Source organism: Homo sapiens, chromosome 4 (assembly GCF_000001405.40).
Source record: "Homo sapiens chromosome 4, GRCh38.p14 Primary Assembly".
NCBI classification, from domain to species: Eukaryota; Metazoa; Chordata; class Mammalia; order Primates; family Hominidae; genus Homo; species Homo sapiens.
The window spans coordinates 22702919-22728515 of NC_000004.12; the positions used below are offsets into that span (position 1 = coordinate 22702919).

At 36.7% G+C, this 25597-nt stretch overlaps 2 pseudogenes across 3 annotated transcripts in view; one reads left to right on the top strand and one right to left on the bottom strand.

Moving 5' to 3' along the window:
* GBA3 (glucosylceramidase beta 3 (gene/pseudogene)) overlaps positions 1-25597 on the top strand; it is a 126633-nt pseudogene that overhangs the window by 9982 nt on the left and 91054 nt on the right. The window contains exon 1 of one of the 3 annotated variants that reach the window (NR_102357.2): positions 11174-11232. The exons of the other annotated variants lie outside the window; for them this stretch is intronic. The product of NR_102357.2 is annotated as a glucosylceramidase beta 3 (gene/pseudogene), transcript variant 3, non-coding (transcript). Of the gene's footprint in view, positions 1-11173; positions 11233-25597 lie in introns of those variants that run through there. 3 annotated transcript variants of the gene reach the window in all.
* On the bottom strand, positions 24376-25105 carry CDC42P6 (CDC42 pseudogene 6; annotated as a pseudogene).

Sequence of the window (25597 nt, forward strand, 5' to 3'; positions counted from 1 at the left end):
TTGGTTGTGCTGTTCCTTCCTCGGCTTGCCCATCTGGTAGGTGTTGCTTCCTAGCTAAATTCACTGGTGCACAAGGTTAAATGAATCTTTAAAAATTATTAGACCGTCACACAAGTGCCCAAACCAGAAATAAGCTAGACTGTTCCTCTTACTCCTTCATTTTACCAATTCCTTTTTATTCTATCTCCTCTAAACCTCTTGATTATACCCATCTTCTTCATTGCTACTACCTTTCCTTCTGGAACTTAGCATTTCTTATCTTCTTAAAGTTTCCTTCTGTCCTCTCCACTCTCCTCCAATTTCTCTTGCATATTACTTCTAGCATGGTCTTTTACAAATCTGACCACATTATTCCATTTTCAGAGAGAGAGGATGAGCTCTGAAATCAAACAGACTGGATTTAAACCCTGACTCCACTTATCAATTGTATGATCTTGGAAGATATCTAAGCTTTGCAGGCCTCAGTTTCCTTATTTGCAAAATGAGAACGGTGATAGTGCTTATCTTGGGATCATTGTAAATATAAATGTGTTCATAAGTAACAAATGCATAGAACAATGCTGTGCAAATCTTAACTGTTCAGTAAATGTCAACAATTGTTAAAGAACTTGAAATGTCTTCTGACCTTCTGCAGGATAATTTCTGAACTTTTTGAATAGCAGAAGAAAACCCTGCAATTTTCTCTCTGACTGCAACTCCAGTTTCACCTCTTGCTTCTTCTCTATTTGTATCCTACTCTTTGACCAAAATAAAGCACATGGAATTTGCTAAATGTGCCATGACCTTCATGCCTCTGTACCTTTGCACATGCTGTTCCCTTTGCTTGAATATACATGACTATTGGCATCAACAGAGATCAAAAGATGACAAAGATCCAGCCTTTCTCACTTCCAGGCTGGAGCTTGAGCTACTCCAGCACACTGCCTCTTTCATCTTTTATGCTACTCTCCCAAGTGTGTTACTGTGAACTTGGCAGTGGTAGTAAAGGGCTCGATGACTGATGGGGGTGAAGAGAACCCCTAAAAGAGGTTTTTAGTATATACGAACAAACATTATATTAACAATTTGGAACAGCATGGATAATATGCCTTTTTACCTGGGGGCGTTTGAACATAACTCCATGTATCTAAAGAGGACTAACATCATGAGAGGTGTTGATATGACTGTTGCAGCTGTGTGTTTGTATTTTGCATGTCGTGGGTGGTGCCGTCAGCAGCAGCTGGGGCCCTGCTGTTTTCCTTCTGTTCTACTATGTGGCCCTCTTCCTTGGGGCACCCTCAACCAGACGAGCAGATCTATATTGGCTTTGGATCTTTCTCAAGGTGCCTGCTCTTCCTTTCATTAGCGTGGATAATCAGAATTTGATTGTAAAGTATGCCCAGGCCAAATACAAGGGCTTTTAAAATCGTCTGCTGTTTTAGATTATCCAGGCCACTGATCCCCCTTCCTTAGCGTGGATAATTGAGAGTGGACTGGGCTGAAGAATGTTAAGCAGAACCAATTGACAAAATAAATGAGATTTTAAAAATCCTTTAGATTTTAATAATAGAAAAAAGTTTTTTTTAAATCTGAAAGAGCTTATTTTATATTTCAAAACTGTAAATTTATTCGGCTTTAAATTACTTCAAAATAGGAAAATATTTCATATGATGCACCCATTTAAAACCTATTTAAAATGTATACTAATTACAATATGCACTTAATGGAGTTAAAGGAAGAATGGAACATACAGACAAGAGGTTGGAAGTTTCTGATTCAATGTGAAATCTTCTTATAATCATGTTTATATTTCATCAAGGTAACAAAGAGAGGGTAGGAGCCACTTCCAAACTCTGAAAATCTCTCTCTTGATAGTGGAGGCTGCAATTCTTTGCTCCTAGTGAACAATAATCATTTAGAGACAGGCATTTAAAAATGTATGTATAAGATGAACAGAATTCTGATTTCTGGGAATATATGATCAAATTCACCTGTCATTATTTCATCTTTCCCCATGCCCCATGCCCCTCCAAATGCAGGTAGAAATGTATTTGCATGCCATTTGACTGGGAACTGAGAGGACATTTTCCCAATGGAACAATGCTGTAAACGGGGGTAGGTGTCAATAAATACCCTTCAGGTGTGTAATGAGGATAAATAGATTTGGGGGTTTGCCTGGGAATTTGAAACATAATGTAAAAGGCAATGGTGAGTTTCTGGGCAGGTGACTCATAAACAAGTTTTTTGAAACATTACCCATTTTTACGTTGGGAATTGCCAAGCTCAGCCTTAACGTCTCCCACAACACCTATGAATAATCATTTAAATACAGGCTTTGAGACTTGGGGAAAAAAGCGTATTATTTACTCTAAAGACAATAATCTTCCTTGGAGTCATTGTAGTCCATCATGCAGATGCATACTTGGGGATCTTTGGAAAAGCAACATTTTCTCTTGATGGTCCATTACTTCATTTATCTTTTAAGTTATTATCCAGGACTAGATTGCAGACACAGGTTAGGGCTGCACATCAGCCACTCTGTAACAGTGTGGGAGACTAAGGTTCTTTCACAGGGAGAAATATGACAAAGCGGCTTTGCTCGTTCCCTATTGCGTTTGTGTGAAGAGCAGGATACAGTAATGGAGGTAATGGGGACTCTAGTGCATCTTTTGGTTCCTTATAGTGCTGAGAACTTGGCAAATGTAGGCACACATAAATTCTTGTTCCCGAGTGGTTTGATGAAGGGAGAACTGAGAGGTTCTCAGCACAGATATTATACAGCTGAGACCAAATATCCCCCTAGGGTCATCCTACTACTCTTTCCATGGCTGAAATAAAGACCAGATACCACCATACTAAAGCTGTGATGTGGTTGGCTTGTTGCTGGATGACTTTTCTCATGCTTGGAGAAAATTACGTAAGAAGATTGAGAAAAGTTCTATCCCAAAGATCCGCATCTGCAAAGACGAGCAAGATTGCAATGTCTGGATTAAGTTCTCTAGAATTTAAAGTTCTGTCTCATGTTGTATTTGGAGACCTGGCTTCCCTAGCATGAAGTGAATAATTAAATTACATTTTATTTTTTATGTAGCTAGTAGTTAATCCCAATTAGAAATTTATCTACTGTGGTTACTAGAGCCTGGGAGTATAAAGGTGAACAAAATGATCACTTGAATCTGACATTCTGGATGGGGAGAGAGGCAGGTACATGACTACAGTAGGATGTGACAGCCCCAACAATAGAACAGACAAAAGGGTATTTTGCGGCAGAGGTGGGCAGGATGGGGAAATAAGAATAAAGTGTGTGAGGCCGGATGTGGTGGCTCATGCCTATAATCCCAGCACTTTGGGAGGCTGAGGCAGGCAGATCACGAGGTCAGGAGTTCAAGACCAGTCTGTCTAACATAGTGAAACCCCAGAAAAAAATTAGCCAGATATGGTGGTGTGCTCCTGTAATCCCAGCTACTTGGGAGGCTGAGACAGGAGAATCTAGTAAACCCGAAGGGCAGAGGTTGCAGCAAACCAAGATCATGCCATTGCACTCTAGCTTCCAGCCTGGTCAACAGAGAGAGACTCTATCTCAAAATAATAATAATAATAATAATAATAATAATAATAATAAAGTGTGTGAGATTACTTGTGGTATCTAAATTGGGTTTTATGAAGACATGTTTTCTGTTTTGTTTTGTTTCCAGGAAAAGACACAAGAAAGGGCATATTAGCAGAAAAAATATTTTGACATGAGACATAAAAGTATAAATACTTCTGTTGTATTTTTGGAATGGTGTAGTCATGTACAGTTAAGTAGGCACATGAGTTAGAATTCTAATACTTTAGGATGTATTCGAATCACTTGGAGTTCTAATTAAAATGTAGATTGGGGGCCTCATATGAAACTATAATAACAGTATTCACAGATGAGGGCCAGGAATTTATATTTTTTGTAAGTGCCTATATGATTGTTTTGTAGATTGCTCATGCTTTGATAAAGCCTGCCATAGGCTGTGTTTTCTGATGACGGGGTTAATGGCAGAACCTGAAGCCTTATGTCGTGATGCACGTAAACTGCTAGGCTAAGGAATTAGTATTAGCATCATGTGCATTAGCTATTTGACAGCCATAAAATATACTTAGTCAAAGGGTGTAATACAGTCAGGTCTGTATATTTGAAAGAGTTTTGATGGCAGTGTGGAGAATAAACCGAAAGAAGGAGATACGGAGCTGGGGAAAAGTTGTCGGGTTATTGCCATAGATGAGGCAGATGATGATGAAGACCTGAATTTGGGTGTCAGGAACAGAATGGAGAAAAAAAGAGTAAAAAAACATTGAGGGAAAACCAAAAGGATATGTTCATAAATGCAATTTAGGGCATAAAGGAAATAGGAGGAAGACTAAGGTGACTTTTGTGATTATGGTTTAGGTAACTGGCTGGCTGAGGATGCCATGAAGAGAAGTAAAACACTAGAGAAGGAGCAGACTTGGAGGTTGTGTGGTAGAAATTTAACAGCTTCAATTTCATTTGAGATTCCTTAGGGTATTTATAGAAAATTGTCTGGGAGGCAACTGAAAATTTCTGTCTCCATTTCAGGTTGGATTTTCTGTTAGAAAACCACAGCTGATGGTGAAAGTCATAATGAAAGAGAATGCTTGAAAGAGGGTGATAGAGGGAAACAAGAAGAGAAGCAAAGATGAGCAAGGTTGCAATGTTTGGATTAAGTTCTGTAGAAGAATTGAAAAGTCTCAGGGGAAACCCACACAGAACTGACATTCTTACAGAACCTTAGAATGACTGAGAAATAACTTTAGAACATTTCTAGTCTGGTGGTTTTTAAATGTGTTTTGACGTGGCAAAGCCAGGTTTTCAAGCAAATCTAACAAGGTCTTTTTGATCATTGCCGATGGAACCCTTCTTTATGCTGACAATCTATTGTCAGATATGCAGGATTAACCATATGTAGCTACTTTTATCAGTGTTTAGCATGAAAATTTCAGAAAACTGCATTCAGGGAGCCATGTTGATACACCAGAAGAAATCTGCCAGGACTAAAGACCGACCCAATAATTCCCGAGGTACCTTCAGGAAAGTCAATTTATTTTTGAGTCAAAGGAATCTCAAATTATCCTAAATGGCATTGCTTCCACCAGAGTTCTGTTCTTAATTTAATAAGCTGCTACAAGTTCCAAGCCAATGTTCCTTCTTAGAAATATGCTATGCTATGGGATGTAAATCTTTTTAAGTGCATTTCATTGTACCAATTTTTTCATTTTGAAAAAGCCCATTGGTTTATTATTAAGTGGTCTATTTAATAGTGCCAATAAATTCTAAAACTGGAGACTAGGCATTGTTATTTTAGATGCTTTAATGATATCAATTGTCTAAGTTGCTTGGTCTTGGCTTATTTGCTTGACCTTTGTCTGTTTTAATGATCTGGAAAAATTCCTCCAAACTATACAGAGTTGATATAGTGGCTCTTGATATATGATACAAATCTGAAAATACTTTATTAGAATAAGTTTACTAATAGTATTCGAATGATTGTATTAGGTCTATACAATCAAAGTGAAGTTGATAACTGCAAATTTTAGAAGAACCAAAAGCTTCAAGTAAAAATTCAATTTCTGGGAGGTGGGGTGGGATAAGGGTTAAAAAATTACCTATTGGGTGCAATCTTCAATATTTGGTTGATGGGTACACTAGAAGCTCAACTCCCACCATTATGTATGCAATACCCATGTAACAAAGAAGCAAATATTTTCCCCAAGTCTAAGGAAAAAAATCGACAAAACCCAAAATAAGATCACAGTTCAATTTCTTGTAAAATAGGTTTTACTTATTACTTCTGTGTTTTGAGTTAACTGTAATTATAGAATAACTATCCAGAAAAACAACTGGACGATTATACTGCAAAATACTAATACAGAGAGGTAATATAAACTGGTGGTTTTTAGTACCAGTGATTCTACACTCTATTGAAGACCAAAATTTCAAATAAGAAAACCAAAATTCCAAATTTGACTTCTTATATTCAAAAGTAATGTGGTCTTGTTCTTGTTTAGTATCTTTAAGGCTTACTTTTCTCAGGTTAGTAACACCTATTGGCAGTTTATTGGAGTTTATTGGCAGCATAAAATAATTTAGGCAGTCTCTTAACACAGGGCTTGGCTTTTAAAACAGGACTTCAATAAATGCTAACCTTTACCATCATAATTTTTATCACCACTATTACCACCACCGTTATCATCATCATCATCATCATCATCATCATCCTTCTCATCGTCTTCATCATTGTTGCCATCAGGTGGCATGTTAGTTTGGATCCTCTGAGAAACAGATACCAAGATGATATTGAACGTGCAAGAAATTTATTCAGGGAAATGAACATCAGGGAAAATGGGGAGGGAGCCAGGAAAGGCTATCATGCATGTCTGACAAGCAAAGGAGAGAGTAAAGGAAGAAAGGGAGTTGGGGTGAACCATTTAGACTACAGTGCAATTCAAAGGGAAGTTCATCAGGATCTTTGGAGAGTCCTTGATCCAAAGTCACCTGTCAGAAGAGTCGCACATCCTCCACGAACAGGCCTACTTTCTTAGCTTTGCCACACTCAGCATTGACTGAGATCAGCCTGGGGAACTGTGGTGTCAGTAGAAATGCTGTGACATGTTTCAGTGCTCAGTGGCTGAAGGCTCAGTCAGTTATGCTCCCTGAGCTTGGAGGTAGGTTTTGTAGTGTGTTTCTATAGGTGTCACAGACAAAATTGTGGGTGATTAAAAAATATCCCATTTTTTGGTATTTTATTAATTATCTATATGTAACCTGCATTTAATATTTGAGGGAAGAAGTAAAATAAATAATTAAAAATATTTCCTTTTGCTTGGGTAGCATTAACTCTTTGAAACTTGCCCAAATCTCACAGTAACTGTTTAGCTTTTTAATTTGCATGAATATTCTGGTACAGCTCTGCTATTACGTCAACAGCACCTTGCCACGACAAGTTTTATTTTCTTGTTCCAACTTTTTCTATTTAGAAACCTGATTTGATTAGAGTGTGAAAGTTTAAGTGTTTGAAACAGGATTCAATTAAACTAGGTCATTCTTGGGGCTCTGAAAATGGTAACTGGCCTTAGGCAAATGAGAACAAAAGTTATAAAACTCAGTTGGATGCATCACAACATTTAGCATCTTTAAGGAAGACGTCTTGCCTAATAGATTCAATTTAGAAATATTTAGTGTAGGTCATCAGCTTAAGCACCTAAAAAATGTGTTTGTTTGTTTGTTTCTCCCTTTAGTTATAACTAGAATCGGAACACCTGGACTCTAATCTACAAAATAAACAATTTGTGCTGGGACCTTGAAGAAAGTCAATTAGTTTCCGTGACTTTACCAGTAGGTTAAAAAGGAGATTGTAATATTAGTGAATAATGTGCTTAGAGATGTTTGCATAAAAGATGCTTTGTCATTGTAAAGTATTATTGAATATTTATGGTCTACCAGACTGAGCCAAATGGCCCAGAGGAAAAAACAGTTAGATTTATGTAAACCTTGTTCAGTGTCCCAGATACTTCAGGATGGGTGCTCTATATGTGAATAAATAAATAAATGGTATAAATATTATTTTAAAATTTGAAGGTACATCAATATTATCTGGGGTGTTAGCCAATGTGCCTGACCTATGACATTGAAATGAAATGTCTGCCTCCAGGTAACTATTTCAACCTCATAAATATTTTTAAAGCCAGAGGCTTTGATGGCAAGTAATGTTTTCTTAGAGTTTTGTGTCTGCAAATAAAGGTAAATTATATCTTTACCTAAAATCTACAAGAAATGATTGTCTCTCATCCAAAAGGTTGCTCAGAGAGTTCCCAGATTGAAATTGTATATGTTATACTTCTTTCCCTTTCTTCTAAAAAAGTATTTTACTTACTCTTGCACGGTAGTTTTCTGTCACATTATTGTGAGAGATCAGAGCCTCAAAGAAGAAAAAAGTTAGCCATAAACACTGCCCAAGGACTTAATGGATCTTACTGAGCCACACCATGCAGATGTATTGGAACATAAATAGGTATAGGAGATAAGAGGCACAAAAGCAATTTGTTTGGATTGGGTCACTGCTTAATCCAGATGGGTTCAGCAAAAGAATTCATGAAACGTGACAGTGGGCCAAGAAGAACTTGCTGTGACATTTCAGATTCCCCTACTTCTTCTAATTAACCATTTCAAGTATAACAAAACTTATAGCACATACAAATCTAGTGCAACCCATCTGTACCAAGCGCAGACCTGTCCGTGGAGGATGGATGGTTCTGTTCTCAAGCAATGGACTATGACACAATAATATCTCAAGTTGGGCTTTTAATTTCTATGATACATTGATTCTGAACAGCATTTTTCTAAAAGACAAAAACTATACCAGAGTTGCTTTTTGACATAGCCTGTCATTAAATGCATTTGGATATATTGCATGGATCAAAATATACTGCAAGTTTAATAAGATATTTGAAAATATAAAAATTGCACGTAGAAAAAGCCCACCATCATGGTAATGATGAGAATAATAACAACAATAGCTACCTTTTAAAAAAAGCAACTATTACTTGCCAGTCACTATGCCGGACGTTGTACACATGTCCTTACAAAAACTTTGCGAGGTGGAGATAATTATTCTCTTTTTATAGAGGAGGACACAGACTCAAAGAAGTAAAGTTGTCCAGGGTGAATTAGTATGTGGAAGATGTAAAATTTTTTTTGGAATTACAGAAAAAACTCCACAAACCCACATTCCTGCTTAGGCAAGTCAAGAATTCTTGCCTCTTTAGTTGATGGGTTTAGAATAATTTTTTCAGGTGCTAATATCAGGATATAACCCATATCTCTTCATACACAGTTCTTCAAATCTACCTGTTCGCAGCCCTTCTTTCTTCTCTTGAGAAATAGAAACTAGGATTTAAACCTCAGAATTATGCCTCAGTATCTACAGCACTGTAGTGCCTCATAAATATTAGTTGAAATGGTAAAAGAAAGATACAATTGCCCCTAATGCCTATGATATTCATTAGTCAAAAGAGGATGGAATTAGCCCATTTCCATGAATGTAAAATTTATATATGTATTCTAGAAAACATATATCAAAATGGAGTTATTTTAAATAAGATGTTCATATTTAACTGACAAACAGAATCAATCTACCGTGCCTAGTTCATAGAATAGATTCGGGGAGTCAATTTTTGTGCTTAATTGTTTGTACAAAGAAAATCTTTGACTTATGAATGATAAGAAAATAATGAAAATTGAGTTAGTGCTTATAAAATTCTCGAATTCTTTTGCTTTTGCAATCAAGCCAGGCAGATTTCTAGGAGTTGAGGTTTCTTAGGGTATTTTATGTTTCACATGACGTCACCAAGAAGTTACGGATCAATAGAACTTTGTAATGTTCATGTAGCAGAGGGATGAAAGAGTTAAAGGATTTAGGTGTTGCAAAGGGTGCTTCTTCTGGGCAACAGAGGTTTGAATGTAGGGCACCTTTTGCATTTTCAGCATTAATGTTTGAACTCTTGTCCTACAGTTATGTAATAAGACAACTTTATTTTTTTTTAAAAGAGAAACAGAAAAAAACGTCTGCTGAGAAAAATACTTGCCGCCCTTGGGGACAGATTTTGCAGTACATTTTTGTACAGGAGTCATTCTCTCCTGTCCAAAAGCTCTGGAACAGGATGAATGTCCTTCTCAAGGTTCTTAGAGCCCAGAGTCATGACTGACTACACGCATCAGAAGAAACACAGAGATGTATGGGCAAGATTCAGTGGGCACACCCACAGGTCTGAGAGATCACTGGGCTGGCGAGGCATTGCAGCCAGGCCGCCAGCTAGTCTAGAAAAAGAAACCAGGACTGCAGTCGTCGGTAGACTAGCTAGATAAGGGTCGGTTCCCTCAAGGACTAGTTACTCTGAGGTCTGTTCTAAGGGGAGGCAGCCCATGAGCAAATATAGCCTAGTATAGTAGGTATAAAAACTGTTAATTAACAATAACATTTATGTACTGCCCCCCAGCAAGTCAGTTTTAAATTCAACAAATTTTCTCAGTAACTTTGGGAAACAGGAAGACCAGGTGTTATCCTCATTCTCATTTTACATATGAGGAAACTGAGGCACAGGGAGGTTGAGTGAATTTCCTAAGGTCACAGATATAGTAAGCTACAGAGGTGAATTAATGTATGGAAAATACTGATTGAAAGGCTGGAGAGCACAGACTTTGTTCAGTCACATCTGACTTACAATTTTAGTTCTGCCGACTGCTAGATCTATGACCTTCTCTAAATCCTTGAACTCAAGGAAACTTCAGATTCCTCGTATTTAAATGGAAGGGAGGGAACATGAGTAGTTATGAAGCATGTAAAGTGCTTAGCACAGTGCTTACCCCATTATAAGGGCTCAATAAATGATAGCTACTATTACTATCATGATGTTTTTTTCCACTATACCATTCCATCCTTCCAAATGGAGCTCAGTTTAGCACAGTGACAGTCAGAAGCTGAAACCAACTTAGAGTGATCAGAAGCTGAAACCAACATAGATGGATGGATTTGCCTATCCATATCCAGTCTCTATGTTGCAGCTTAGACCAGCACCCAAAACACTAATTGTTATCTTGGTGCTGTAGTTGACATTCTATTTTGTCATCTGTTACATGTATGTTGTACTAGTTATATCTACGTTTCTAGTTTACATATTTAGTATTCCTTAGCAATGCTCTGATGGATGGAAAGAAGAGTCGAGGTTTTGTTGCAAAGACAGAGCAAAGTGTCTTTCACTAGATAGCGTGATTCAATGCATAAATGACTGAATGCAAGGAGGCTTAATTGAAAGATAAAAGAATAATTGCTGTAGAATAGCAGAGGCAAAAGCAGCTATGGTAAAAAGTCGCCTGTCTTAAACAGAGTGAAAATAAATGAAGAGGGGGTTTGAGAAGTCTTTGTAGCAAAAGATCATAAGAAAATAAACACCAGTGCAAGGCAGGAGTCCAGAAGAACAAGTCCCAGAACCAAGACTGATATATTCCTGTCAGAATTTATCACTTCTCTAAATTACCAGGTCAGTAGTTAAATTATAATCACATTCTGTTATATATTATACTGGTTCAGTCAACAAATGAGACTTTTAGGAAATCCTTATAAAAGGAACTTTGTTTCTGTTTCCCAATGTCCCTTTACACTTGCTTGGTGGAGATAACTCTTCCCTTCCATTTAGAAGAAAACGTAGGTAGGTTCTATTTCTCTGGTCACCTTAAATTTTATTGTGTACTGGATATTTTCTATTTGCCTATCCATATCCAGTCTCTACTTTTCCTTGCTCTGGGCCAACCCATGTGGGTTGGCATCAATGGACTCCATTGTCCTTTATCTTCCATTTGGACTTGATCAATGGGAAACATTAGCAAGAGATGGGAAGGTAAGTGGGAGGAGAGAAACCGAAGTCTTTACCCTGCTGGTTTCCTTCCTGCTGGACTGCAGTGGGTTGGCTGTGTCCCTCGACTAATGCCTCCTCTCGTGCTAGGCAGCCTTTGGCAAACTGCTACTCTCTGCAGGTTTTGTAAACCAATTCTACCCCAGCCCCTTCATGGGCAGCAATGACTTCCTGCTGTTGCAAGCCCTGAGGTACTGCACTATTCCTTGTTGCTTTCCTTGAACCCTGCTCACACCATCGTAAACAGTCTTTTTTTAAAGCTTTCCTCAATAACCCAGTCTGAGTGCTGTCTGTTTCCTGCTAGGACCCTGGCTGATGCATATGGACACTTTAAATTGCAAAATACCGTCTAATTTTGATGCTTAGAATAATCTGACTATGAAGTAGTTAAAATTCCAAATTGAATTTAGAATTAAGTCTTTCTTAGCTCTATTGGAAGAGGGAGCAAGGCCGTGGTTCTTTCTCTGCCTCCTCTTATTTCTGCCTGTTTACCATGGTTTCTGACCTAGTTGCCGGAGAGGTAATAAAATGGAAAGTTCTTAAGGTGGCATCACATGCTCTGATTTCGGTAGATATTTAGAGTTGATTCTTTTTCTTACAGACATTTGTGTGGCCCACTGCTGAGAAGTACTCTAGTATCTTAGATGCAGGTGATGCTGTGTTCTTCAGTTCATCACTTTCTCTGTCCTGTGGGCATCTAGCCATTTACCCTAGCTTCCATTTGTTGAGGTCTGCAGTGGTCTGAGCAGCCACCCCCACAAGATATGTCTGAGTCTTAACCCTTGCTCTCCGTGAAAGTGACCTTCTTTGGAAATAGGATTTTTGCAGATATAATTAAGATAAAGATCTCGAGATGAAATTACCCTGGATTTAGAAGGAGCCCTAAATTCAATAAGTGTCCCTTATGAGAGACAGAAAAAAAGAAGACACAGAGACACAAGGGGGAAGGACATCAGAAGACAACAGCAGAGACTGGAGTGATGCATCAAGCAGCCAAGAAATGCCAAGAATTGCAGCAGCAAATGGAAAAGAGGCATGGGATAAGTGCTTACTTCAGTGACTGCAGAAGGATCCAACTCCGCCAACATCCTGATTTCAGACTTCTGGGCTCTACAACTATGAAAGAATACATTTGAATTGTCCGTAGTCATCAAGTGTGTAGTGATTTGTTACAGCAGCAGTAAGACATGAATACAAACTCTGTTTGCCTTTGTAGGCCTCCTTGGAGAGATGCTAAGGCATCACTGTGCTTACTCCTTCACCTGTGCCGTGTCTTGTCCAGGGGAAACATAAGCACATCCTTTTCTCAGTCTCTAGGGCTGCAGGAAGATCCCAACCCAGCTTCAGTTTTCCTTTGCTTCTTCTTTCTTTCATCATCTTTGTTTCTTTCCTCTTGTTCTCTTCCTGGGTTCTTGATTCATTCAGTAGAAGTTAAGACTCCAATTCATCATATTCCTTTAACTGAAGGGACTCATACCATGACCTGTGAGTAGTTCATTTGAGTGCTGAATTAGTCTTCCAGGGCTGCTCTAGCGAGATACCACAGATTGGGAAGCTTAAGCAACCGAAATTTATTTTCTTACAGTTCTGGAGGCTGGAAGTCCAAGATCAACGTGCTAGCAGGCTTGTTTTCTCAGGAGGCCTGTCTCCGTGACTGGCAGACGTCCACCTTCTTGCTGTCCTCACATGGCCTTTGTCCTATGCCTGCATCCCTGCTGTCTCTTCCTCTTCTTACAAGTACACCACTCATATTGGATTAGGGCCGCATCCTAGTGGCCTCCTTTTAACTTAGTTCCCTCTCCAAAAGCCCTATCTCCAAATATAGTCATATTCTAAGGTATTGTGGGTTAGAAATTCAACATATGAATTTTGAAGGAACACTATTCATAGCAAGTGTCCACCTTTAGGTTGAAGTGAAAGGAAAGTAATCATCCTCCCTTTTTCTTTGAGGCATGAAACGCACATTACACGGAGAGTTCTGTTCAAGGAAAATACCTCTTGAAAATCCTCATTAATCTCCACCGCTGATGTGGGTGAGAGAGTCAGGTGTTGTGACCCCTGTTTGGGAAAATGCATTTGTGTTTGCAGCTTAGACCAGCACCCAAAACACTAATTGTTATCTTGGTGCTGTAGTTGACATTCTGTCATCTGTTACATGTATGTTGTACTAGTTATATCTATGATTCTAGTTTACGTATTTAGTATTTCTTAGTATTATTCATCTTAGAGTTGTTTTGATTTATCTCAACTCAGTTTTCTAAATCTCATTTCAGAGTCTCACTTAAATACTGTTAAGTACTTAAGTGAATAAATGGAGGAAAGAGAGAGAGAAAGGAAGAGAGAAAGAGGAAGAGAGAGAGAAAGAGAAAGAGAGGAAGAGAGAGAGTAAAGTCATTCAGCCATCTAGTCTATATTTCTTTTAATGTCAGGAAACCAGTTATTTAGATAATGCATTAAATTAATAAATATTTATTTCAGTTTGGTCTGTTTTAGTGATCCTTTTTAAAAACAAACAGGTTATAGCTATGTCTACAGAGGGAATATGATTGTGTGTGTGTGTGTGTGTGTGTGTTTGTGTGTGTGTGTGTGTGTGTGTGTTAGTTAGGGAGGGTGGTGGGAGGGAATGTCCTGGTAGGAAGAACAGGGAAAGGCCAATCTTAAATGAATAGTTGTCCACCAAGTCAATACTTTCAAAATATTTAAGACGAGTTTGGACACTTATATCTCATGAAGTAACTATGTAAGTTGTCTAATTTCACACAGTCACCCAGTCACCCATACTTTGAAGAAATAATTAAACTTACTGACAAAACTGAATTCCAACTCCTTCCATATGTTAAGTTCCACAGTGAGATAAAAGCAAGTATGACTAAGCTTGAGTCTTTTATCCTGGGAATGTAATTTATTTCTCAAGTCCTAGAGATACTGGTCTTAGAAGGACTGGGGAGCTTTATTTCTTAACAGAGAAATCTTTAATCATGTCATTTGTCTAGGACCATTCCTGGTGTAAAGATTCTTGAAATGCTGAGTTGATTTTAGGGTTTCACTGTGTCTTTGTGAATGAGACGACCGAACAGGCACAATATGCCTAACCAAACTCTTATCTATTTTCTAAGGTAGAAATTTCTGAAAATCTGGACAGTGAACTCTCCAATTGGGAAAAGTCCATTTTAAAGCATTTAGCTGCATTAAAGATGTTTATTTTCTTAAAATAACATTAGTAACACATTTTTCCTTAAAATTATTTTGCTTTTATTTCCTGCTTAATCTAAGATTTACTTCAGAGTTTTTTAAAATTCCAAGCACATAGATTGGAGAAGATGGTACGTAGACTTATTTTTTTATTGTTAATCTTTCTTCCTCTTTTCTCCTTTCCTCTCGCTCTCTTCTCTCCTTCCTACTTTTCTTTTGTTTTTCCTTCCTGCTCTTCTTTTTTTCCCTCTCTTCTGATTGGTTGTCAGATAATGTAGCCTGTATGAATTATATATGAGTGAAAGTAATTTTATTGTTATTGTTGAGTATGAATTTCTGTCTCTCTCATTCTTTCATATGTATATGTGTATCATTTGTATGTGTGTATACGCATACATACACATATAAATATACAAAGACATATATACACATGTGTGTACCATACAATTTTACAATAATTTTATTGTTGTTGAGTATGGATTTCTGTCTCTCTTATTCTTCCATGTGTGTATGTCATTTGTATATGTGTATATGCATACATCACATAAAAATATACATAGACATATATACACATATGTGTAGCCTGTATGAATTGTATATGGGTGTTTGAAAATAATTTTATTGTTGAGTATGAATTTCTGTCTCATTCTTTCATACGTGTGGGTATATCATTTGTATACACATGCATACACATATAAATATACATAGACATATATACACATACGTGTGTACCATGGAGAATAACTTTACAAACTATTTTAATCAAATTATCTTTTTCTTTGTCAGTTTCTGAGAGAAACTCTCTCATTGTGTTAGTGCAGTTTTCAACATATTCCTGCATCTAGGGAGGTTTTTATCTGTAGATTTCAAAACTCGATTGTTAGATGCATAAAAGTTATTCTATATAGTTTTAGTACACTGTAACTTTTAATGTGAAAATATTACTACTCATTCAATTTAATGCTTTCTAATTGTATTAATTTAAAATATTAATATTGCTAATTGTACTTTTTAAAAATATTTGCACGGTAAATACTTTTTTCTCTTAACCCTTACCTTTGTTCAAACAGGAATATTTAATGAATTGGTAATTTTTGTGCTTACCAATATGTTTCAACTTCTTTTGGCCGTATTATTATGGTATATTTTCTGTGTTTTTTTTTGGTTTTTATTTTTATTTTTATTTTTTTAATTTTTTTTGTTTATTATTATTATACTTTAAGTTTTAGGGTACATGTGCACAATGTGGAGGTTAGTTACATATGTATACATGTGCCATGCTGGTGCGCTGCACCCACTAACTCGTCATCTAGCATTAGGTATATCTCCCAATGCTATCCCTCCCCCCTCCCCCCTCCCCCCACCCCACAACAGTCCCCAGAGTGTGATGTTCCCCTTCCTGTGTCCATGTGTTCTCATTGTTCAATTCCCACCTATGAGTGAGAATATGCGGTGCTTGGTTTTTTGTTCTTGGGATAGTTTACTGAGAATGATGATTTCCAATTTCATCCATGTCCCTACAAAGGACACGAAGTCATCATTTTTTATGGCTGCATAGTATTCCATGGTGTATATGTGCCACATTTTCTTAATCCAGTCTATCATTGTTGGACATTTGGGTTGGTTCCAAGTCTTTGCTATTGTGAATAATGCCGCAATAAACATACGTGTGCATATGTCTTTATTATGGTATATTTTCTAATGCTATAGTTTCCTTTTGTATTTTCTTCTCTTCTAGCTTTTCCCCCGTCATTATGTTTTGCTTTACTCTTTTTCCCATCTAGTGCAGTGTTTCCTAGGAGAGGTGCTGTTGACGTTCAACATGGCCGTTTCTTGTTTGTGTTGGCTGCTCTCCACTTTATTATTGGCTGTGCCACTAAATATCAGTAGCATCCCAGTCACTGGGACAACCAAACAACACTTGTTCCTTTCCACATGCCTCCAAGGGATGTCATACCACTCTGAACTGCAAATAGGTGCTCACTACTTTGGGATCTAAAAGTCTGAGTTCTCTTCTCTTGTGGTTATCTTTATTTTTCTAACTGAATGTTTAGTTTTGTCTCTGTAATATATGTGTATGGTTTAAAAATTGAAATAGAACATTGAGAGTCATACCACCCAATAGCAAAGAATCATCATCTTTTTTATCACTCTACTTCTTATGTTCTTGAATGCCAACACTTTTAATTGTATTTACTTCTATGTAAATACATGCATATATAGTTATTTGATTTTTCTAGTTGAAAACATGACATTGACTTCCTATTATATACGATGAATTTTTTCTTTTTCTAGTCTGAATACAACATTATACAAAGTAAACTTTCTCTTCTCCATTTTTCTAATTTGGTTATTTAACAAATTTTGTTTAAATTGTGACTCAGTTCTTACATCATTTTTAATGTAAATATTGTGCGCAACTGAGCCACTAATGTCCTAAGACTAATTTTTTTTCAGTAGAGTTTTTGTTTGGTCTGAGTTAATAATTGTCTTTGTTTTTGTTGTTGTCTTTTATTTGATCCTTTTCTTAATTTTTTGCCCACTGTCTGCCAGAAATGTAAATTCCGTCTTGATTTACTCAAACACATCAGAAACTTTGTTTCTTTTTCTTTTCTTGGAGGGATCCTTCTGGAAACTTCCATCCTCCTGTGACTTAATAATAAAATGTGCTTCCATGTGGTGTGGTGGTTTCCCTTGTGACTTTGGAGGCTCTTGTCCTGTCAGGATTAGTTTAGGGCACAGAGTGCTGCTTGCAGATCAAGGCATCTTTGCTTACCACAGCCTCAAAGCTTTCCATACCATACTTATGTGTAATACTCTTAATGAATGTTAGTTGTAAAAATAAACAAAATTTTCTTCTGAAAGAACACCAAATCACAACTTATACGGGCATTGACTTGAACTTTTAGTCACATTTTACCTTTCAAATAAAGAATTTTCAATTACTTACGAGCACGACAAAGATAACTTCTGCACGTGTCTGTGAAGCAATGAGACAGTAAACAGCAGTATTCGTATTTTATGTGAAGCACACCCCACAAAAAGCATTTTACTGAGCGTGCACTATTTTGATACATGATTCTTACTACTGGAGGGACACAGACAGGTCAGTAAAACATGGACCCTGCTTTGACAGAGCTCAAACTAAAGGAGGCCAAAGAAAAATGTTTTTAAAATGACTCAGCCAGGCGTGGTGGCTGACGCCTGTAATCTCAGCACTTTGGGAGGCCGAGGCAGGTGGATCACGAGGTCAGGAGTTTGAGACCAGCCTGACCAACATGGTGAAACCCCATCTCTACTAAAAATACAAAAATTACCTGGGTGTGGTGGTGTGTGCCTGTAATCCCAGCTACTCAGGAGGCTGAGGCAGCAGCATCGCTTGAACCCCGGAGGCAGACGTTGCAGTGAGCTGAGAACATGCCACTGCACTCCAGCCTGGGTGACAGAGCAAGACTCCATCTCCAAAAAAAAAAAAAAAAAAAAGACTCTAGCACTATGCGTTATTTGCAGGGTGGGTGTTCAGAGGAGGATGTGATAATGGTGGGGAGTCAGAAATGCTGCCAAAAGGAGGCAATGTGGTGATGTCAGTTTTGGGTTTGGAAGGAAGAATAAACAGACAGATAGACAGATACATGTACCCCATCCCCCTTAGTTATTTATTTCTTACTTGACATGATTTCCTTTGTGCAGGGGTCTATTAGGTCTGTGACCTCGCAAAGGCATTGTTATGGCAATTGTTAAAGTGATAGGATACCATTTGTAATGGTGTTTTCTATATCAGGAAGCTGAGGGCCCTACAGACCAAGTTATACAAGCCAAGACATTGATTCTTAACCACAGGCAAGTATGCAAATATTAACAGTATTTTCTACATGTGCATTCTGGCATCAATAGGGAGGCCACAGAGAGAAGAAAAAAACAAACAACAACTGGTCATTTGCATTCAGCCTAAGGGAGGAGAAAAGAACTAATACATTTTGAGCACATATTATTAAATATCTGCCATGCACACTACTAAGCATTTTTGCTTTGACTACTAGAACCCTATGAAGTAGATAGTATCTTCCTATTTTACACACAGAGAGGTCATGTAAATAGTAAGGGGTAGAGACAAGACATAAACTCATTTATGCCTGCCTCCAGAGCCTATGCTCTTTTCATAATCCTTTGCAACCTGGGAAGTCTTTGATATTTGATAAAATATCAGTATTTTACTTTTTTGTGGAAATCCCTTCTATGTTCTAATAGGATAATTTCAAACACAATTTTATTTTCTTCCAAATTACTAAAAATAAAACACAGGATCTTGTCATTTCTTGCCGAACATATTGCAATATAGCTAACTGGTCTGGTTTGGGTCTCTATGCCTTCTTTCTCCAATCACCCCAGCACAGCCATTGAAGTATGCACTTGCTTTCCCTCGATGAGAACTCTTACTCATCTTTGAACACCCTGGCTTAAAATGTTTTCTCTTGGGCAAGTATACCTGACTCCCAACAACAGAATTAATTATTGAATGCCTGTTCATTAATTTTCCCACAGTTTTTTTTTAAAACAGGTTTTAATACAACTCTTAATGTAGTCTAAGAATTTCTTTGTATAATATCTACTAGATTGTGAGACCCTTAATGAGACCTCACCTAAGTTGTAAGTATTAGTAATGGTCTCCAAGGAGGTTAATCTATTGGTGTTGATAAGGGAGGACTCTAAGGGTATCACATTTTGCTGTTCGGTTATCAGCTATGTGATCATGGGAAATCAACTCAATATTTACATGCCTTGGTTTCCCTTTGTACTTATTTGGAATAATCACAGTGCATTTTTGAAGGGTTAGAGTGAGGGAAACAATGGGATGGTTGAAGTAAGCTGTTGGTGTAGTGTTGACAGAAAACTAGTGCTCAATAAATGGCCTTTACTATGAACAATGAAATTATAAAATTGATTTTGTTAGATACACAATAGATAATATTTATAATATCTGTATATAGTATTAAAAATGATATTTACCTACTCCCACATTTCCAGAACCTCCTTCAATATTGTCTGTCTAGCCCTCTGCCCAGTGGTATCCAGGAAAGTGAATTTTGCATTTATCAATTTTTTTGCTTATATGGTCTTGCTACATGAGAATGTATAGTGTGATAATTTATTATTTAATTTTACATGCTTTGGGACACTATATAAATGGCAATGTATTATGTGTATTTTTTGCAACTTGCTTTTTCTCTCTCATTATATTTGGGACATTTATGCACATTGATCTGAGAAGTAGTTCAGTCTTACTCCTGTACAGTCTTTCATTATAGAAATATGCTATAGTTTATTGATTTATTGTCCCAACAAAGGAAATTTGGGTTGTTTTCAATGGTTTTCTTTTTTTTTCTTCTTCTTCTTTTTTTTCACTGACTGTTGCATTCATGGATATATATGTCTCCTGGTCCATTGTAGAAACAGGGTATACAATGGTATGTGAATTACTCGGTTTTGGTGTATGTGCTTCTTTAATTTTAGTAGATGTTTCCATACTGTTCTCCCACCAGCACTGTATACACATTTCTGCTGAGCAACAACCTCTCCTACACTGGATACTGCCCGACTTTTAAATGTGTGCCAATTGTGTAGGTGTAGAATGGTGTCTCATTGTGGCTTTCATTTGCATTTTCCAAATTTTTAACACTCTCTTACCTTTTTAAAGAAATGTTTACTAGCCATGTGTTTTCCCTTCTGTGAAGAAATTCTTCACATCTTTCATCAATTTTTCTGTAGTCTCGTTGGCCTTTTTAACGGAAATATTCAAATATAATTGCGGATTTCTTGCAGTTCTGTAAGTTTTTGCTGCGTGTATGTTGAAACTCTGTTATTTCATGGATAAACATTTAGGATTATTAGGGCACTACTCCTATGTGAGTTCTGAGTACTGTCACCTCTAATCCTTCGGGTGATTTTTCAATCAAACTCAGATGGTTTCTTCACGCATGTGCCTGGATAAGTATTCTGCATGCTCAAGTGCGACCTTCTATGGTTTTTGTTCTCTCTTTGGAACTCTTTCCCTCTTTGGTGCTCTGCCCTGAGAATTCTAGACATCTTGGTCTCCCTGGGTCCTCAGCTTTGTCTCCTCAGCTTAAGAAGTCTGCCAGACTGTGGGTTTGTCCTCTCTGTGCTGTGTCCTGGAAACTTCACAAGGTAACACGATGGAGCAGTTGTAGGGCTCATTTGTTCCCTGGCTGTGGATGATCCCTGTTCTTTGTTGTCTGAGGCCAAATGTCTTCAATTTCACTGTGTCCTATATTTTGTTTGGTTTTCAATTGTTTTAGGTGAGAGAGTAAATCTAGACCCTGTTACTACATCTTGGCAGGGAGAAGACATTCAGGTCTTTTGTATTCATTTTTAGGAGTTCTTTATGTGTTCCAGATAAAAGTTCATTATTAGTCATGTATGTAGCATATATATCCTCTTACTTTGTGCCTTGCATTTTAATTTCCTTAATGATTTCTTTTTGTAAATACTATTTCTTAATGCAGTTGAATTTCTGAGTTCTCCCCCTTTAGGTCTAAGCTCTTTGAGTCTTTTAAAGATCTTATTCTCTAACCTGAGGTTACAAAAATATTCTGTGTTGTCTTCTAAACATTTTAGAGTTTTCCTATTTAATCCACCTGTTTATTGTGTATATGTGTAGTGAGTAGGCATCCATTTTCACGAAAAAATATATAAATCAATTTTCCCAGCATTATTTACTGAAAAGTCCCTCTTTACTGACTAGAATGCCATCTCTTTTGTATATTGAATTTTTTATATTGAATATGCATGGTATTATTCTGGGGTCTCTATTAAGTCCATTGATCTATTTATGTGGGCCTATGCCAGTGCCACGCTAAGCTACTTATTATAAATTTGTTCTAAATCTTAGTATATTTTAAGATAAGTTTCATACAATATTTTTTTGAGAGATTTTAAATACTCTTGGCCCATTTATATTTCATACAGATTTTAAAATCAACTTACTAAATTCCTTTAAAAAACTGTTAGGACGGGTTGGAATTGCATAGCATTTATAGATCACTATTAAGAGATTCAGAATCTGGATGACATTGAATCTTTGTATTCATAAACATGATATTCCATAAACAAATATTTAGATATTCTTGAAAGAAAATTTTACTTCCTTTCTTATCTTTCAATAAAATTTTATAATTTTCTAGACAACATGCTTACACTTTATTATATATACATTTAGGTATTTTTGCTGCTATTTATATAAATGTTATATTTTATAACTGTTACTTTGTATAGAATGCATTGTCCTTTATTAATTTTGTATCAAGCAAGTTTACTGAGCTAAACTCTATAAATTTTATTCTATTTTAATTTATTTTATTTTAAGTTCTGGGGTACATGTGCAGGATGTGCAGGTTTGTTACATAGGTAAACACATGCCATGGTGTTTTGCTGCACCTATCAATCCATCACCTAGGTGTTAAGCCCCACATGCATTAGCTATTTTTCCTGATGCTCTCCCTCCCCCCCATATCCCCTGCCCCAGTTAGGTCCCTGAGTGTGTGTTGTTTCCCTCCCTGTGTCTATATGTTCACACTGTTCTGCTCCCACTTACAAGTGAGAACATGTGGCGTTGGTTTTCTGTTCCTGTGTTAGTTTGCTGAGGATAATGGCTTCCAGCTCCATCCATGTCTCTGTAAAGGACATGATCTCTTTCCTTTTTGTGGCTGCATAGTATTCCATGTTGTATATGTACCATATTTTCTTGATCCAGTCTGTCATTGATGTAAACCCTTATTCTTATAATTCATCCTTACATTTTTTTGGAGGTTTTACATAGGTAATCTTACAGTTAACAAATGATTGTTTTGTTTTGTTTTGTTTTTTCCTCTCTGGGGCTTATATTATTTAGTTAGTTTTATTTCAGTGTACCTCTAATTAACAAACCTTATGTAATGTTGAATAGAATTGATTATAGCAGACATCCTTGACTTTTTCTTGATCTTAAAAAGAATGTTTTTTAGCATGTAGGTTTTTTGTAACTATTAGTTACTACAATAGGGAGATTGCCTTTTATTTCCAATTTACTAACACTTTTATTCATGTATACATATATGATGTTAACATTTGTATGTATTGAGATGACCACACGGATTTCTATCCATTAATCAGTGTTTAATTACATTAATGAATTTTCTAATGATAAACTAGTCTTGTATACCTGGACTATAACTCAGATTTGTAAAACATTCTTTTTTATACCTGTTCAATTTGGCAACCTGTTATTTTATTTAGCACATTTGCAACTGTGTTAATGAGTGAGATTGGCTTATGCTTTTTCCTTTATTGTAGTACCATTTTCTGGTTTGGTATCAAGATTATACTAGTCACATAAAATGAAGAGAATATTTTTTTCTTTCTTATTTTCTGGGAGAATTTGCACAAGAGTAGAATTTTTTGTTTGTTTCATTTTTTAAATGATTGTTGGAACTCAGTTGTAAAACCAACTGGTCTGGCATTTTCTTTGTGGAAGATTTTACTACCAATAATTAGTAACTACTGATTTAATTTCAAGTTTTTCATTTCTATTTGAGCCAACCTTGGTAAGTTATAATTTTCTAGATTTGTCATTTCCATCTAACTTTTCAAATGTATTTTATAAAGTTTTTAAAATAACATATAGATGCTGTCAGTTTAACCTCTGCAGCTTCTTTAGCTATGTTCCCCTTTGCATTTCTAACATTTATTTTTACCTCCTCATTTAAATACATACACACCTCAGATGAGTTTCTATTTTCTTAGACTTTTTTTTAAAAACCATCTGCTTCTGTTAATCTCTATCCTGAGTTTTTTTTGTTTTTTTTTTTTTTTGGTTTTTTTTTGAAAGGGAAAAAAATTTTTTTAATTACAAACTCAATTCATTTGGTGCATTTCAAAGGTGCAATACTTTTCTTCATTTATCAGTGAAAGAAGTTAGAAATTACTTGGTGCATTTCAAAGGTGCAATACTTTTCTTCATTTATCAGTGAAAGAAGTTAGAAATTAACTTCCCAAAAAAATCAGCAAATGGCAAACAAATGTCCTTGAAAGTCACAGTCACATATAGTGCGTCCTAGAAAAGAGGAGGGGCAAGACGGGCTCCACCCACTTTCATGAGTTTCATCAAATACTGGATCTACTCAAGGGTGGAGAGAAAAGGCAACTTTCAAAAAGGAGTATGTTATTAAATGAGGCATTTACTATACTCCTTCCTAAGAGCACCAGATGGGGAACATGTTTTCTAAACTAGATCTAGGAAATGGAATGTGGAATCAATCCGTCCTCCTCCCCTTAAGGGCTAACCACTGGTTAATGAATTAAAAAAACAAGACTAAAAAACAAACCCCACACACACTCCCCCCCAAAAAAAGAGGAGGGAAAAAAAACAAAACAAAACACTAAGATGTCCCAGATTACTCTCCAGAGTGGAACCAGGGAGCAGCTTCAACAATTCCAATTAGTCTGTTACAGAGTCATCCATAAGCATGCCTTGCTTTTAAACAAAACAAACAAACAAAAAAACACACACAAAAAAATTTTTTTTGAAACAACAAAAAAAAAACTAGTACTAATCACTTTTCTGACAATACAATTACTCAAAATTAACTAGTACTGGGAGGGGGAAGGGGGGGCCATACCTATGGGCCTTGTCTCACACGAGTGCATGTGGGTAGGTGCAGGGCATTTGTCATTATTGGAAAAACGAATTTTAATTTTTAATCTTTAGTTTGATTTAAACATTGCTTTTAGTATGATGCCGACACCAGCTGTGCAGAAAGGGCTCTGGAGAGATGTTCATAGCAGCACACACCTGCGGCTCTTTTTCGGTTCTGGAGGCTCCAGGGCAGCCAATATTGCTTCGTCAAATACATTCTTTAGGCCTTTCTTTGTAAGTGCAGAACACTCCACATACTTGACAGCCTTCAGGTCACGGGCCAGCTTTTCAGCAGTCTCTGGAGTGATAGGCTTCTGTTTGTTCTTGGCAGGTTTCTCAATAGTAGAGGGGTCATCTCTGAGATCAATTTGAGTCCCAACAAGCAAAAAAGGAGTCTTTGGACAGTGGTGAGTTATCTCAGGCACCCACTTTTCTTTCACATTTTCAAATGAAGATGGAGAGACCACTGAAAAACAGACTAGAAATACATCTGTTTGTGGATAACTCAGCGGTCGTAATCTGTCATAATCCTCTTGCCCTGCAGTATCAAAAAGTCCAAGAGTATATGGTTCTCCACCAATCATAACTGTGACTGCATAGTTGTCAAAAACAGTCGGTACATATTCCGATGGAAATTTGTTTGTTGTGTAGGATATCAGGAGACATGTTTTACTAACAGCACCATCGCCCACAACAACACACTTAATTGTCTGCATTGCTGAAATAGTTTTGTATCCACTTTAAATATTTCAAATCTGATGTTGACCTCAGCTTCTCCACCGGGGCGTTCCCCTGAGTTTTTTTTTCTATCTTATTATTTCTAATCTTACCTTAGTTTTTCTCTTTCTGTTTCTTAGTTTCTCCTTCTGTTTTCTTTACCATCTTTCTCTTCCTTCTATTTTTCCTCTTCCTCTTCCTCTCTTACGTGATTAGCTCAATAACGTTGAAGTTTGCTTGTTTTCTAATACATACATTAAGGCTTTCTGTTTTGTCAAGGCTTTCTATTTAAGTACCACTTAAACCAGATGACACAATGTTTTAATATTTTGTGTTATTTAGTTTTTATTATATTTTTGGTAACTACTATTATTTATTCCTTTTTTTCCCTTAAGTTCTTCCTGTGTGCATTTTCATATTTCTGAACTTTTGGGGTTTCCTAATTATCTTTATTTATTGAATTCTAACTTAATTGGTCAGAAATTGTTATCTGTATTTCCTCAAACTTGAAATTTATGAAGAGTTTATTTACGGAACAATTTGTGCACAACTTTCATAGTGTTT